This window comes from Homo sapiens, chromosome 2 (genome assembly GCF_000001405.40).
Source record: "Homo sapiens chromosome 2, GRCh38.p14 Primary Assembly".
In the NCBI taxonomy this organism is placed as follows: Eukaryota; Metazoa; Chordata; class Mammalia; order Primates; family Hominidae; genus Homo; species Homo sapiens.
In genome coordinates, this window is record NC_000002.12 from 233,247,281 (window position 1) to 233,261,023 (window position 13,743).

Below are 13,743 nucleotides of genomic sequence, written 5' to 3' on the forward strand. Positions count from 1 at the left end.
TCAGGATGCCCATCCCTATGCCCAACCCACACTGGAATTGCACTGTTTTTTTAACCTGCTGAGTGGAAGGTAAAGGAAATCAGGAAGACCCAAAGGGCAGAGAAAAGAGTAAATAGGACAATAGTTTGAAGGTTGGCCCTTGAATTCCTCTGAATTGGAGCATAACTAGAGGATCTCACAGATGAGATGTGTAGGCATCAATGATGGAGGTGAGAATCTCTTGGAAGTTTTTAGCAGTGGAAATGCTGCCACAGAGGTGCTGTTATGTTAAAGCTGGTGGAACTTTGGTTCAGTGAAACTAGACTTTCCACAAAAAAAGTCCTTTGATAAGTGACGCCTTTTCTACTTCCTGTGAGCAAATTCGTGAGGCTTAACATATTGCTACAAGAATCTTGGGATATTTTACATTTATCTTACATCCATTATAGGCAGTCAGACTCCATTTCACAGATGCTGCTTCCCAGCAAAGCATGCTGAATCCTTTAGACAATCACTATTTACCAGAACAAATATAAAAACTCTCAAGATCTGTTATTTGTCACCAGAGTATTCAGACAACCTATTTCCTCCTCCTTCCTATTACTCATCCCCTGTATTACTCACCCTCCAGCCAGTCATTCCCCTCAGGGCCTGTGAACACACCTGAAGCCTCCCCATCACTGACTTTGCTCTTCACCAGGTTGCCCTCCCTATTGGCTAATTTAGGAGTGAGTCACATATTACTTAAAAATTATTCTGTTTCATGTATTCTAGTCCAGTCATACTGCAGTGACAGCCAGAACAGAGACTGGATGATGGAGTGCAGTGGTTAAAGGCACAGATGCTAGAATTAAATTGCCTGTATTTGAACCCAGGTCTTGCCACTTTACTAGCCAGGTATCCTCATGCAAGTTACTTAACCTCCCTGTGCCTCAGATTCCTCGTCTGTAAATAAGGATGAAGATGCTACTGAGCAGGATTATTGTGAGGAGGAAATGAGTTATAATATGTGAAATACTACTCAGAAGAATGCACAGCCCGTAGCACTGTAGAAGTGTTCCTGCTTATTTGTGATCTCCCAGAGTCTACCATGCTTTGACATAAGTGGTTTCATCAATAAATATGTGTTTATTTCTATAACTTTTTTTTTTTTTTGAGACAGAGTCTCACTCTGTCGCCCAGGCTGGAGTACAATGGCACAATCTCGGCTCACTGCAACCTCCACCTCCCGGGTTCAAGCGATTCTCCTGCCTCAGCCTCCCAAGTAGCTGAGATTACAGGCGCCTGACACCACGTCCAGCTAATTTTTTGTATTTTTAGTAGAGATGGGGTTTTGCCATGTTAGACAGGCCGGTCATGAACTCCTGACCTCAGGTGATCCACCTGCCTCAGCCTCCCAAAGTGCTGGGATTACAGGTGTGAGCCACCGCGCCCGGCCCAACTTTTTCATGCATATGTAGTATATATATATATAATGTCTACCTATTAGAAAATGCATATAAAATACACATATAAGAAAAAAACCCAGCAACACCACTGCCTACAGATAATACTATTATCAGTATTTTCACATATTCCATTCATTAATTAAATAACATTTACTGAGCACCTAATACATAAAGGGCTTCATGCTCTTGCTGGAGATATAATGATGTGCAAAAACAGACACAGCTCTTGTCTCATGGAGTTTACAGTCTACTGGGGGAGACAGACCTTTATCAAGTAATGATACAAATACATGTGAACCTATAACTGGGATCAATGCTATAAAGGAGAGGTACACGCGTAACAGGGAGATAAGATCTGTAACAGGTTGTGAAGGTCTCTCATCCTACTGTTGCGAGGAAGTGACTACTGAAATGAGAACGAACACACAGAAATTAATTTGGAGAAGTCAGAAGGGAAGATGTGCCCAACACAGTAAATCCAAAGGCCCTGCAACGAGAGGGAGCACGGTAAGCAGAAGGAAGTAAGAGGCTTCAGCGTGGCTGTGGTTGTGTGCTAGATAAAGCTGGTGAGTTAGGAGGAGGGCAGGACTAGCAGAGCTTCATATTCTTTCTTTAGAAATTATTCTTCATGTGTTCAACAAATATTTGTCTATGATGAGCTAGGGACATACTCATTTTACATAAATTATGACATATACTGCTGTTACTATCAACAATTTCCAGCAATAAATGTACAGTAATTTAACCAATCTCTTATTGTTGGAAATGTAGATTTTTTTCTCCAACTTCTCATCATTATTATAAACCGCAATTACTTTTACACCAACCTAAAAACAATTCTGCAACAAAGATTTTTGTATGTGGACATGTGTCCAAATATTTCTTGGCATAAATTCCTGCAAGTGGAATTGCTGGTTAGGCAAACTGCAAATTTGTAAACATATTTTTATATATATAGAGAGAGAGTCAGGGTCTTGCTCTGTTGACCAGGCTGCTGGAACACAGTGGTGCTATCACAGCTCACTGCAGCCTTGACCTCCTAGGCTCGAGCGATGCTCCCACCTCAGCCCCATCCCAGTAGCTAGGATTACAGGCACACGCCACCACACTCAACTAATTTTTTGTATTGTTGTAGAGACAGGTTGTGTCATGTTGCCCAGGCTGGTTGGTCTCAAATTCCTGAGCTCAAGTGATCCTCTCACCTTGGCCTCCCAAAGTGTTGGGATTACAGGTGTGAGCCACCATGCCCAACCTTGGAAACATATTTTAATCATAAATGTGGGAAATTAACATGCTCAACTGTCAAGATTTGGTGTAATGGTCTTTTAAGGGTGGTGCCACTGCTGCATTTGAAGGCATTCTCGGTCACTTTCAGAACTTTTTCATTTTCTTCAGCGTGTGAGGAAGTCACTTCTATTTCTGATCCCATTGGATCCTTCCAACGACTTCAGGTCCACTCAATACTGACTACCAGTGAACCATCTTCAACTACAGTGCTAGAAGCCTGACTGTCCTCCTCTCCTCAGCCTAAGTTCTTCTTATCTGTCTCTGAAGGACCTTCCTCTGGACTTGAGACACACTGGAAGAGAAGGTAGTTTCTGATATTCCTTTCCTCTTTTGGCCAACTACTTTGTCTGGCTCCATTTTCATGCAGTAAATTCACTAATTGTTAAAGGCAGATGGAGCTCCAGCAACTCTATTACAGAACTGGGTTTTCCATTCTACTGAGCTTGTTCACAGACACAACTTTCTCAGGAGCCAGTGTGTCTTCATCTCCCCCTTTCAACATCTACAGCCTCAGATTACCTTCTAAGGCTCCATTTATTGTCAGGCCACAATTTCTAGGATTCTAACAATGAAGACAAACTCTGATACACAATTCACATCTTTCTTAGCTCCCGTTTCCAGTTCTCTTCTCCATTGCAAACAAAAACAAAAACCCCAAACAAACCACAAAACCTGTTTCCAAGTTCAGTGGGACACTCTTCCCAACGCACCCTGACTTCAGGTATGTAAGAGTTAAGAAACAAGAAAGAAACACGAAAAGCAGCTTAACAATCAAAGACAGGTTTATTTTGGAGAATAAACCTGAGAGGGGCTTCTTGTCGATTTTGGTCAGGAGCGTTTTCTCTTACACACTAAGGGTGTTTAAGGGTTTACGAAGCGGTGAGCTTATTGCAGGTTCGTAATGTTTCTGTATGAGGGAAAGTTTATTGCAGGGTTGGAAAGTCTCTGGCCGGAGGGGAGGCTATCTCTGGGTTGGCATGTTTCTGGTTGGAAGTGGGTTTATCTTAGGGTTGGAATGTTTCTGGTTATGCTGACATTAGCCATTAGGCTGATGTTTTTGGGTTGGATTTAGGCAGTTTCTTAATCAAGGGGAACTTAAAATGGTGGCAGTTGTCCAAGATGGCAATGCTCCTGCTGTCAGGGTAGGCCTTGGGAAGACACCAGGTGTCTTTGTAAACTTAGGTTTCCCCTGTACCAAGCACAGTGCTGACTGCATTACATGGGTTTTTCTTTTTACTATTCGTGACAACCTTCTGAGGTAGGTATCATTACTGTCCCCATTTACAGATGAGACAACTGAGGCTTAGGTAGGCTGTCACTCATCCACAGCCACAGAGCTACTATGGAGGGAACCCCATTTGTTCCTAAACTGCGATTAAAAATAAAAGTGGGGGGAGACAGGCCAAGAAAAAAAACACGAAAAGGGTTGAAAAGCAGCAAAAGAAAAGTAAGCAGTCAGGCGGAAACGGCCCCTTTCCTGCCTCCTTCCCGCCCGGCGCTGGGCCTTGCGCAGGGCCCGGACGCCCCCAAGCGGCCACCTCTCTGCAGCTGACGCTTCCGGCTACAGGCTGGCGTCACTAGCGAGCGCCCTGCGTAGGCACCGGCTCCTGAGCCCGTGCTTCGGGTGAGGGGGCGGGTCTTCCGGCCCTCTCGAAAATCATTTCCGGCATGAGCCGGAAGACCGTCCCGGATGGCCTCGGGGACTGCCAGTGTGTGGAGGTGAGCTCCGGGATTGCCGGCATTCCCGCTTCTGCTGGTTGCTTCATGCTGCAGGCTGCGGCCGTCAGCCCTCGCTCGCATTGGTGGCGCTGAGGTGCCGGGGCAGCAAGTGACATGTCGTCGGGCCTCCGCGCCGCTGACTTCCCCCGCTGGAAGCGCCACATCTCGGAGCAACTGAGGCGCCGGGACCGGCTGCAGAGACAGGCGTTCGAGGAGATCATCCTGCAGTGTGAGCGGCGCCGGTGCGGGCTGGGAGTGGGGCGGGCGGGCCCCGCGGAGGCATGCGGGGCGTCAGCGGGAACCTGAGGCCGAGTCCCTGGCGCCGCCCGCACGCATGGCGGCCGCCCCGGGTAACCCGCGCTTGGGACGCCGCACGCCTTTTAAATGTTTTTTCTAACCTGCGTTTTATCTTTGGAGGATTTTCCCTATTAAATTGTACGATCTTTGTGGGGAGGCACAGTTCGTGTTTGTATTTGTAAATCCCAGTAGCTCATACAATGCTTATGCACTTAAATAGGTCCCAGAAACATCCCATCTATGGGGTCATGTTAATGAAACGGTCGTTGACTTTCAGTCGCAGAATTAACATTGCCTTCTCAATGCACTGGAACGGGTGGCCTTTGATTCCTCAAACTTACTTCCCTTACTCCACCTTGGTGGTTTTTTTTGCGGGGAAACGGGATAGGGGATCAGGGTCTTGCTGTGTCGCCGAGCCTGGAGTGCAGTGGCGGAGATCACGGCTCACTGCAGTCTCAAACTCCCAGGATCAAGTGATCCTCCCACCTAAGCCTCCCGAGTAGCTGGGATTACAGACGCGCTTCACCACGGTCGGCTAATTTTTTTAAAAAAAAATTTTTTGGAACGAGGTCTCACTGTGTTTCCCAGGCTGGTCTCCAACTCCTGCGCTCAAACGATCTTCCCACCTCGGCCTCCCAAAGTGCTGGGATTATAGGCGTGAGCCACCGAGCCCGGCCCCACCTTGGTGTTAATATCGTAATATCTTTTAGGCGGGACAGAACCTTTACTGTTACTGAAATCTTCAGTATGAAAGAGGTGGTTTTCTTTCCCCTTACTGCTTGCAGCTTAAGGGTACAAAAATGTTTGTACCTTTACCTAAATTATAATGGTCCTAAGGTGGTTCCATCTGCGTCTGAAAGTAAACCTGACGACTTTCTCAAGTTATGCTGTTGATGATATTCAGAATAATAATTGCTACCTTATATTGCATTCTGATTGTGCAAAATCAGTAGTTCTCAAACTTAGCTCCACATTAGAATCACCTATGGATCTTTAAAAAATTACAAATCCCAAGCCACACCCCAGACCAACTAAATCACAAGTATCACAGTACACAAGTATCAGTGTGTGTGTGTTTGTGTTTGTGTGAGATTAAGCCTAGAACTGCATGCCAAGTTATCAGTGTTTTTTGATGCTTCCCAAATGACTACTGTGCAGACAAATTTTAGTACTGTGGTAAGTATTTGCATGTGTTATTTTATCTTTCCCAAAATTCTGTGTATGAAGCAGGAACTGTTATTGCCATTTTCACACATGGAACTGAGGCCAAGAGAGATTAGGTAACTTCTGAGGTTGCACAGCAGGTTAATGGTGAGACTGGGTTTTTTTGTTTTTTTTTTTTTTTTTTTTTGGAGACAGAGTCTTGCTCTGTCACCTAGGCTGGAGTGCAAGTGGCGTGATCTCAGCTCACTGCAACCTCCACCTCCCAGGTTCAAGAGATCCTCCTGCCTCAGCCTCCCTAGTAGCTGGAACTATAGGCAAGCACCGCCACGCCCAGCTAATTTTTGTATTTTTAGTAGAGACAGGGTTTCACCATGTTGGCCAGGCGGATCTTGAACTTCTGACCTCAGGTGATGTACCTGCCTCAGCCACCCAAAGTGCTAGGATTACAGGCATGAGCCACAGTGACCAGCCGGGACTGGAATTTGAACTTAGGCTTGATGACTAACTTTTGCATTTGCTTTTCTCACTGGCTCCCCCAGCAAATGGTTCTTTGCTTTCACTGCACCCATTGTTTTAACAAAACTAAGAAGAAAGAGGATGCTTTGCTGTTCTAGGAGGCCCTGAAGAACAGTGCTGTTTCAGAAAGCCAGAAGCACAAGAAGTCCCTCTTCCTCAAAACATGATTCCCTGACAGATGACATAAATCAGTTCATTAGGTGCTTATTAGGTGCTTATGCTTTAAAAGCTAATATCCTTTGAAAGTCAAATTGGGTGGGAGGCTTGACTCACCCCTCACTGAACATTTTCACTTACTTTCTGAGTCTGTTTTGCCTCATCTATAAAATGGGGATGAAGCTTGCCCTGCCCACTTCATAAAAACAGTGCTGTGCATATAAGTGCTTTCAAAGCCATCTGTATAATAGCTTGTAATTGTAAAGCGTTATCTCTTTGACACAAATGGAATGTTTTCCTGCACTTTGAAAATGGCATCTTGATGGGGCAGGAGCATGTAGAACAGTCAGAATAAGAGGTCACTTGTGGAGAGCAGATAGCTTTAAAGGGTGCTAGAGTAGCGAGTAATACCTGCCTGAGGGACCAGGACAGGAGACCGGGATGAGAAGCTAACAAGAGGCAGGAGAGTGAGACAGGCTTTGCATGTTAAGATCTTCTGTTTAGGCAGAGGGATTGACATTTAGGGAGATCATTTCTATTATAGTTTGTGAAACACCTTCATTCCACTCATTCCAGCCTTCCCAGGCCAGTCAAGCTCTGACCCTCCATCAGCCTGGAGTCTATTCTCTGTTCAGTCCGTGCCTTTGAGTCTGAAGAGAAAGGTGGAAAGAAGCCGTAGGGGGAGGGAAAGGCTTCCCTCCATCTCCAGCCTTCTCTTCAGGGAGGAACCTTTGGGAAGGACTCCTTTTGAACGCCTGTGTTTTTTGAAAGAACCTAAAATTATCACAGGGCACTAAGCTTTGGTTTAACATCTGAAGGTCTTACTAGAGCCCTTTGACACTGGTGGATTTTAAACCATAATTTCCCAGGTTGAAACCAATGTCCAGTTTGGCTAATTCGTTTGACCAATAGATGAGAGTGTTTCTACCCAGGAGTTCTCTTTTCAGGTATCAAAAAGTGGGACTCAAAACTCTTTAAAAGGAGAAACAAGCTCTTTTAACAGGAATAGTCACTAGCATAAACCCTGTCTTGTTCTGCTTGGTACCTGCAGAACAGGTACCCACATCTGATCTTACTGGTGCCTGTGTACCTATTACTCTTATTTTTTATTTCATTTCATTTGTTTATTTATTTATTTATTTATTTAGAGACAGTCTCACTCTGTCGCCCAGGCTGGAGTGCAGTGGCGCGATCTCAGCTCACTGCAACCTCTGCCTCCCGAGTTCAAGCGATTCTTGTGCCTCAGTCTCCCTAGTAGCTGGGACTGTGGGCAAGTGCCACCGTGCCTGGCTAATTTTTGTATTTTTAGTAGTTTCGCCGTGTTGGCCAGGCTGTTCTCGAACTCCTGACCTCAGGTAGTTTGCCTTCCTTGGCCTTCCAAAGTGCTGCGATTACAGGCGTGAGCCACAGTAATAGGCCTGTGTGCCTATTACACTTAACTACGTGTTCTTTCTAATCTTGTGTTTTGAATTTCTGTACTCTGTCTCCTGTCAAATTTATTATGTTTGGAAAGAGAACTCATTTCCTCTCTAAGCTCTCCCCTCTTGTGTTCTCTCACACGTTAGCATCCTCCGCCCAGTTGCTTGAGCGAGGAGCCTCAGAATAATCCTTGACTTTTTACCAATACAGATCTGTTAGCGTAACGGCCTGCTTTTATAATCTTTTATTTAATCATTGCCAGTAAGAAGTCTAAATTTCTGATCCTGCTTTTTCCTGTGTTGGCTCCAACCTTTATTTCCAGCCACTTACCAAAAGACTCTGTTATTCCTTCTGCATGGCCCATCATCTTCTTTTAAGACTTAACTCATATATCACCTCCTGTGACACCATTCATAAAAATGAGTACAGAGTGTATTCTCTGTACCTTTTTATACTTGACTGAATTAAATGTTAACTCCATGTTGGAGACTGTCATTTGTATTTCTAGTTCCCTGACCTAAAAAGTAATTAGATATGTCAACTTATGGTAAAGTTCTCCTGTCTTACTTAAAGGTACATAGCATTTCACTTTGCCATTGTGTTTAGTGTGTTTTTCTTTTTTCCTCCCAAGGTAGAAACAAATAACTTCTGGGGTAGAAAGCATTTTCAGCTCCCTTTAATAGGGAAGACATTCTTGCAGGTGATTCTGTAGGTTACTGTGGCTGAGGAATGTATGTTCCTGTATTGCATCCTTCAATACATGACAAGGTAGGTACCTAGCAAGTGTACATACGTTGTAATAAATAACTTAGTTTCTGACTTTTTTATTTTAATAGATAACAAATTGCTGGAAAAGTCAGATCTTCATTCAGTGTTGGCCCAGAAACTACAGGCTGAAAAGCATGACGTACCAAACAGGCACGAGATAAGGTATTTTGAAACTAACTTGTATTATTTATGTCTCCTCTAAGGAAATTTATCTCAGTTCAGTTGTCACTTCTCTAATTTAAAAGCAAATCAAGTACTATTTCTGTGTTCCAGTTTTTGTCAGCTCCTTTCAAATAAGAACTAAAACCATGTAATTACAATTGTTTTTTAGAAGGTATGTCATACCTAGAAAGGTTATTATCAGTACAGTGCTCTGAGCTTGAGAAATTTCTTAAGGCAGGTTCACGTGGTAACCCTAGGTCAGTTTCTCATCTAACCTGCCAGGATTCATGTTTTTTTGTTTCTTTGTTTTTAAATAATCACAGACAAGTATTTCTGAGCGGGTTTGTGTAGATCCTGTTAATGTAGGATTGATTGGCACATACGTAAAAATTGCTTTCCTGCAGTATGGGTCTATTTGATCCTTTTTAGGTTGGTGTTTTTTTCAACATACAAATGGTCCCCAACTTGCAGTGGTTCGACTTATAATTTTTCTTTTTCTTTTTTTTTTTTTTCTTTTTTGAGACAGTCTCACTCTGTCACCCAGGCCGGAGTACAGTGGCACGATCTCAGCTCACTGCAACCTGCAACCTCTACCTCCTGGGTTCAAGCAATTCTCCTGCCTCAGCCTCCCAAATAGCTGGGTCTACAGGAACCCACCACCACACCTGGCTAGTTTTTGTATTTTTAGTAGAGGCAGGGTTTCACCATGTTGGCCAGGCTGGTCTCGAACTCTTGACCTCAAATGATCCACCTACCTCAGCTTCCGAAAGTGTTGGGATTACAGGCGTGAGCCACCGCACTGGCCAGCTTACAATTTTTTTTGTTTTGTTTTGTTTTGTTTTGTTTTGTTTTGAGATGGGGTCTCGCTCTGTCGCCCAGGCTAGAGTGCAGTGGCGCGTTCTGGGCTCAGTGCAAGCTCCGCCTCCTGGGTTCAAGCCATTCTCCTGCCTCAGCCTCCCGAGTAGCTGGGACCACAGGCACCCGCCACCACGCTTGGCTAATTTTTTGTATTTCTGGTAGAGACGGGGTTTCACCGTGTTAGCCAGGATGGTCTTGATATCCTGACCTCGTGATCCGCCCGCCTCGGCCTCCCAGAGAGGTGGGATTACAGGCTTGAGCCACCGCGCCCAGCCCAGCTTACAATTTTTAACCTTTATAATGGTGCAGAAGCGATACACTTTCAGTAGGACTGTGCTTTGAGTATCCATCCAACCAGTCTGTTTTTCCCCTTCAGTTTAGTATTCAATAAATTGCATGAGATATTCAACAACTTATTATAAAATAGGCTTTGTGTTAGATGATTTTGCCCAACTGTAGGCTAATGTAAGTGTAACCTATGATACTCAGTAGGTGAGATGTATTGAATGTATTTTCAACCTACTATATATTTTCAACTTCTGATGGGTTTAAAGAGACATAGCCTCAGTAAGTAGAGGAACATCAGTATTAGTAGATTGTGAAATCAAATTAGCAGATTGCAGTAAGCTCTTATTTTTCTTTAAGAACTAGATTAGAAAAATATCAGTGTGTGCTGGGCTTGGTGGCTCACACCTGTAATCCCAGCACTTTGGGAGGCCAAGGCGGGTGGATCACAGGGTCAGGAGTTCAAGACCAGCCTGGCCCTGATGGTGAAACCCCATCTCTACTAAAAATACAAAAATTAGCCGGGCATGGTGGCGGGCGCCTGTAATCCCAGCTACCCGGGAGGTTGAGACAGAATTGCTTGAACCTGGGAGGCGGAAGTTGCAGTGAGCCAAGATTACACCACTGCACTCCAGCCTGGGTGACAGAGCGAGACTCCGTCTCAAAAAAAAAAAAAAAATATCTATATATCTATATATCTATATATCTATATCTATCTCTTGGTGTGTATTGATAGAATATTTCATGAAATACATATTTGTTCATGGCGGGGTATTTGTGTTTACTGGGTCACTGGTGTGCATTTATGTATATTTGAAGTCTTATTATCCTCTTCTGTAATATTCATTGTGTTTGCATGTTAAATTTGGTATGGGGACAGTAGCCATTATTGCTCTGAAATCTCCACACATTTAGCAATTGTAAAAACAAGGTTGGTGATTTATGGTGTCTAGAAATGGTAGCTGTAGCCTGATGTATTTACTCCTAGAGCTGTAGCTGCTCTCATGTCTCCTCATCTGGCACGATGGTCTCCTGATAGAGGACAGAGTGGGAAAGATACCAGAGAACAGATGGCTTGGCAGGGCCTAGCTTCCATCCTTGCTTTGTAACAGTTCAGGAGATCCTGCCTGGCTGTGGCCCTGGGAGGCCTTCTGTAGTACTTAAGATATTAGTTTTAGTATTTTGGTTAATTTTAGGTGTAGATAATGCTGTTTCACCATTTTCGTCTAAATTCATCCAATTGAAAACTAAAAACATTTCTATCTGATTAAACCCTTGATGACTATATTCTTGTATTCTTTATCTGTTAGCCAAACTCATGTGCTTGGAATATGCAGCCGTTCTTTTGGCTAAATTTCACTGGGATAGACTTTTTTGAGGCAGGGTCTCTCTCTGTTGCCCAGGCTGGAGTGCAGTGGCATGATCATGGCTTACTGCGGCCTCAACTTCCAGGGCTCAAGCAATCCTCCTGCCTTAGCCTTCTGAGTAGCTGGGAGACTATAGGTGTGCACCACCATGCCAGTCTAATTTTTTAATTTTTTGTAGAGATAGGGGTCTCACTGTGTTACCCAGGCTGGTCTTTACTCCTGGGCTTAAGTGATCCTCCCTCCTCAACCTTCCATTAGTGTTGGGTTTACAGGCATGAGCCACCACACCCAGGGGGATGGTCATTTAGTTGGAGGTCTTGTTATAAACCAGGTTCATTCAGCCCACACACAGCAAGTTAATCACTGAGATGATGGGTTTTGTGAGAGTTTATTCATAACGTGGCCAAGCAAGGAGGCAGGAGAACAGGTCTCAAATCCACCTCCTTGAAAACAGGGATTGGGGGTACTTAGGCAGTAGAAAGCAGGGTGGTCTAAAGTGTGGGAAGAGGTGATTGGTGGGTAGGAAAGATGAGGTAATTGGGGCTTCCACGCAAGCATAATCTAGCTTTGTGGTTCCTCATAGGACACATGCAGAAAATGGTGGCGTCAGCACCATCTGAGGGAGGAGTGTTTTGGCCCTCTGATGTCAAAAGATCACCTCTTGGGCATTCACACAGGCCCAGTTGAAGGGTTGGGGGTCTCAACCAGCTTTAATGAGCAAGAGCTGCCTCCTAGTTCCTGGAGAAAAACTTTAAGCACCAGTTATTGTAGTGAGCCACAGTCAGTTATTATTTATAAGGAAGCTATTGGGAGTTTAGTTATGTGTTGTTTGGCAACTCGACTTGCTAGTGGGAGTTTGGAACTAGAAAAAAGTGATGAAAAGCAGGCAAGGCAGGTTGAACGGTGGGCTTCATCAGGTTACCCCTTGTTCAGTCTTTCCATTTCCACAAACATTATCCATAATAAGCCTGCCCTCCTGACTTCTTTGTTTCCATTCACAGTATCGTTGTTTTCCACTAGTCATCTATGGTTCCTTCTTCCCTCTAGATCTTCCCATCTCCATATTCCTTTATTCCTCATATTCCCCATATTCACCAAGCCCATTGGTTCTCCACCCCCTAGCCTCTTGCATCCTTTGGTTTGCATTTATTTTGCCACCTCCTTTGTTTATTTATCTTCTTATTCCCAGACTGTGGTGAGAGCCTCATTCACTCAAAAGACTCCTGTGACCGTAGTGTGGGCTGGGCATTAGGGCTGTAGAGATGAGTAAGCCAGAGTCCCTGCTCTGAGGAGGAATAGAGTCTAGTGGGGGAGACCAACTCAAAGGGACATTTGCTAGAGAATGTAAGGGTGTTCACAGAAGCTGGGCACTTTGTTGGTTTCCTTTCCCCTCCTTCCTGTCTCTCCAAAGTTCCTGCCTGTCTCATCCTAATTAACCGTAAAACACTGCACACTGTGCTTAAATAGTGATCTGCATCAGTTATCAGACTTTCTCTTAAGTATTTTCATCACTTTGCCTACAGTTTAAAATCAAACTCTTCAGCCTCGAAATTGTTTATTCTAAGCACGGTTCCTGGACTAGTGACATCTTCTGGGAAACTGTTAGAAACGAAGATTCTTGGGCCCCACCTCAGACCTACTCTATTAGAAACTCTGGGGGTGGGGCCTGGTAATCTGTGTTTTCAGAAATGCTTTAGCTGATTGTAGTGACCTCTGAAGTTTGAGCACTACCACCTTTACTGCTACTCAGACTTCCTGGAACCAGCAACATTCCCATCACCAGAGCGCAGAAAGTCAGAAATGCAGATGGCTGGGCCTTGCCAGGAAAGCAGGTCACCTGTTAGTGGGCTCCAGGAATCTGTGCTTGAAACATGCCCTCGGAGTGATTGTTTTTTCTACTTGCCGAAGCACTTTAGGGGGCTGATATTCATTGTAAGTAAAATAAGAAGTCCTTGGAGGCTTTGGGTCATGGAAAGAGCTGTATCCTGCTTGCCTTAGTCTCTCCTAGCATTTCTGTTGTGTTCTGTGTCTTGGTAGACTTTGAAGTTTAAGCATCTAATCCTGAGGCTCCTCTGCCTGATGATCTTGCCTCCATTTTGCCCTTCCTAGGAGATTCCTACTTTAGTTCCTCTTTGGAAACCCCTCCCAAAATGAAACCATCCTTGTCTGGGGAAATCTTTGCCTCTGAACATGATTAACACTTTCCATCGTCACTCTTTGATACACTTTTGTTTTTCTTTGTGTTGTTAGTTTTTGTTTTGTTTTGCTTTGTTTTTTTGTTGCTCTGTCGCCCAGGCTGGAGGGCAGTGGCGCAGTCT

The 13,743-nt window shown here is 44.4% G+C and overlaps 1 protein-coding gene across 12 annotated transcripts in view, besides 2 other annotated features; it reads left to right on the top strand.

Moving 5' to 3' along the window:
- Positions 1-1,200: an enhancer, noted in NCBI's record as "P300/CBP strongly-dependent group 1 enhancer chr2:234155927-234157126 (GRCh37/hg19 assembly coordinates)". NCBI's record gives its function as "activates an origin of replication core promoter dependent on BRD2, BRD4, P300/CBP, MED14 and CDK7 cofactors, with strong dependence on P300/CBP, by STARR-seq in HCT116 cells {active_cell/tissue: HCT116}" and the evidence as "EXISTENCE:reporter gene assay evidence [ECO:0000049][PMID:35650434]".
- Positions 3,981-4,680: an enhancer, noted in NCBI's record as "active region_17335". NCBI's record gives its function as "activates an Ori minimal core promoter by ATAC-STARR-seq in GM12878 lymphoblastoid cells {active_cell/tissue: GM12878}" and the evidence as "EXISTENCE:reporter gene assay evidence [ECO:0000049][PMID:35858748]".
- ATG16L1 (autophagy related 16 like 1) overlaps positions 4,393-13,743 on the top strand; it is a 43,997-nt gene continuing 34,646 nt past the window's right edge. For 11 of the 12 annotated variants that reach the window (NM_001363742.2, NM_030803.7, NM_017974.4 and 8 more), the window contains exons 1-2: positions 4,393-4,662; positions 8,822-8,915. In NM_001363742.2, the coding sequence (NP_001350671.1) occupies positions 4,548-4,662; positions 8,822-8,915 (209 nt within the window). In that variant the 5' untranslated portion in view covers positions 4,393-4,547. The remainder of the gene's footprint in view (positions 4,663-8,821; positions 8,916-13,743) is intronic. The other variant, NM_001190266.2, reaches the window with a different exon arrangement.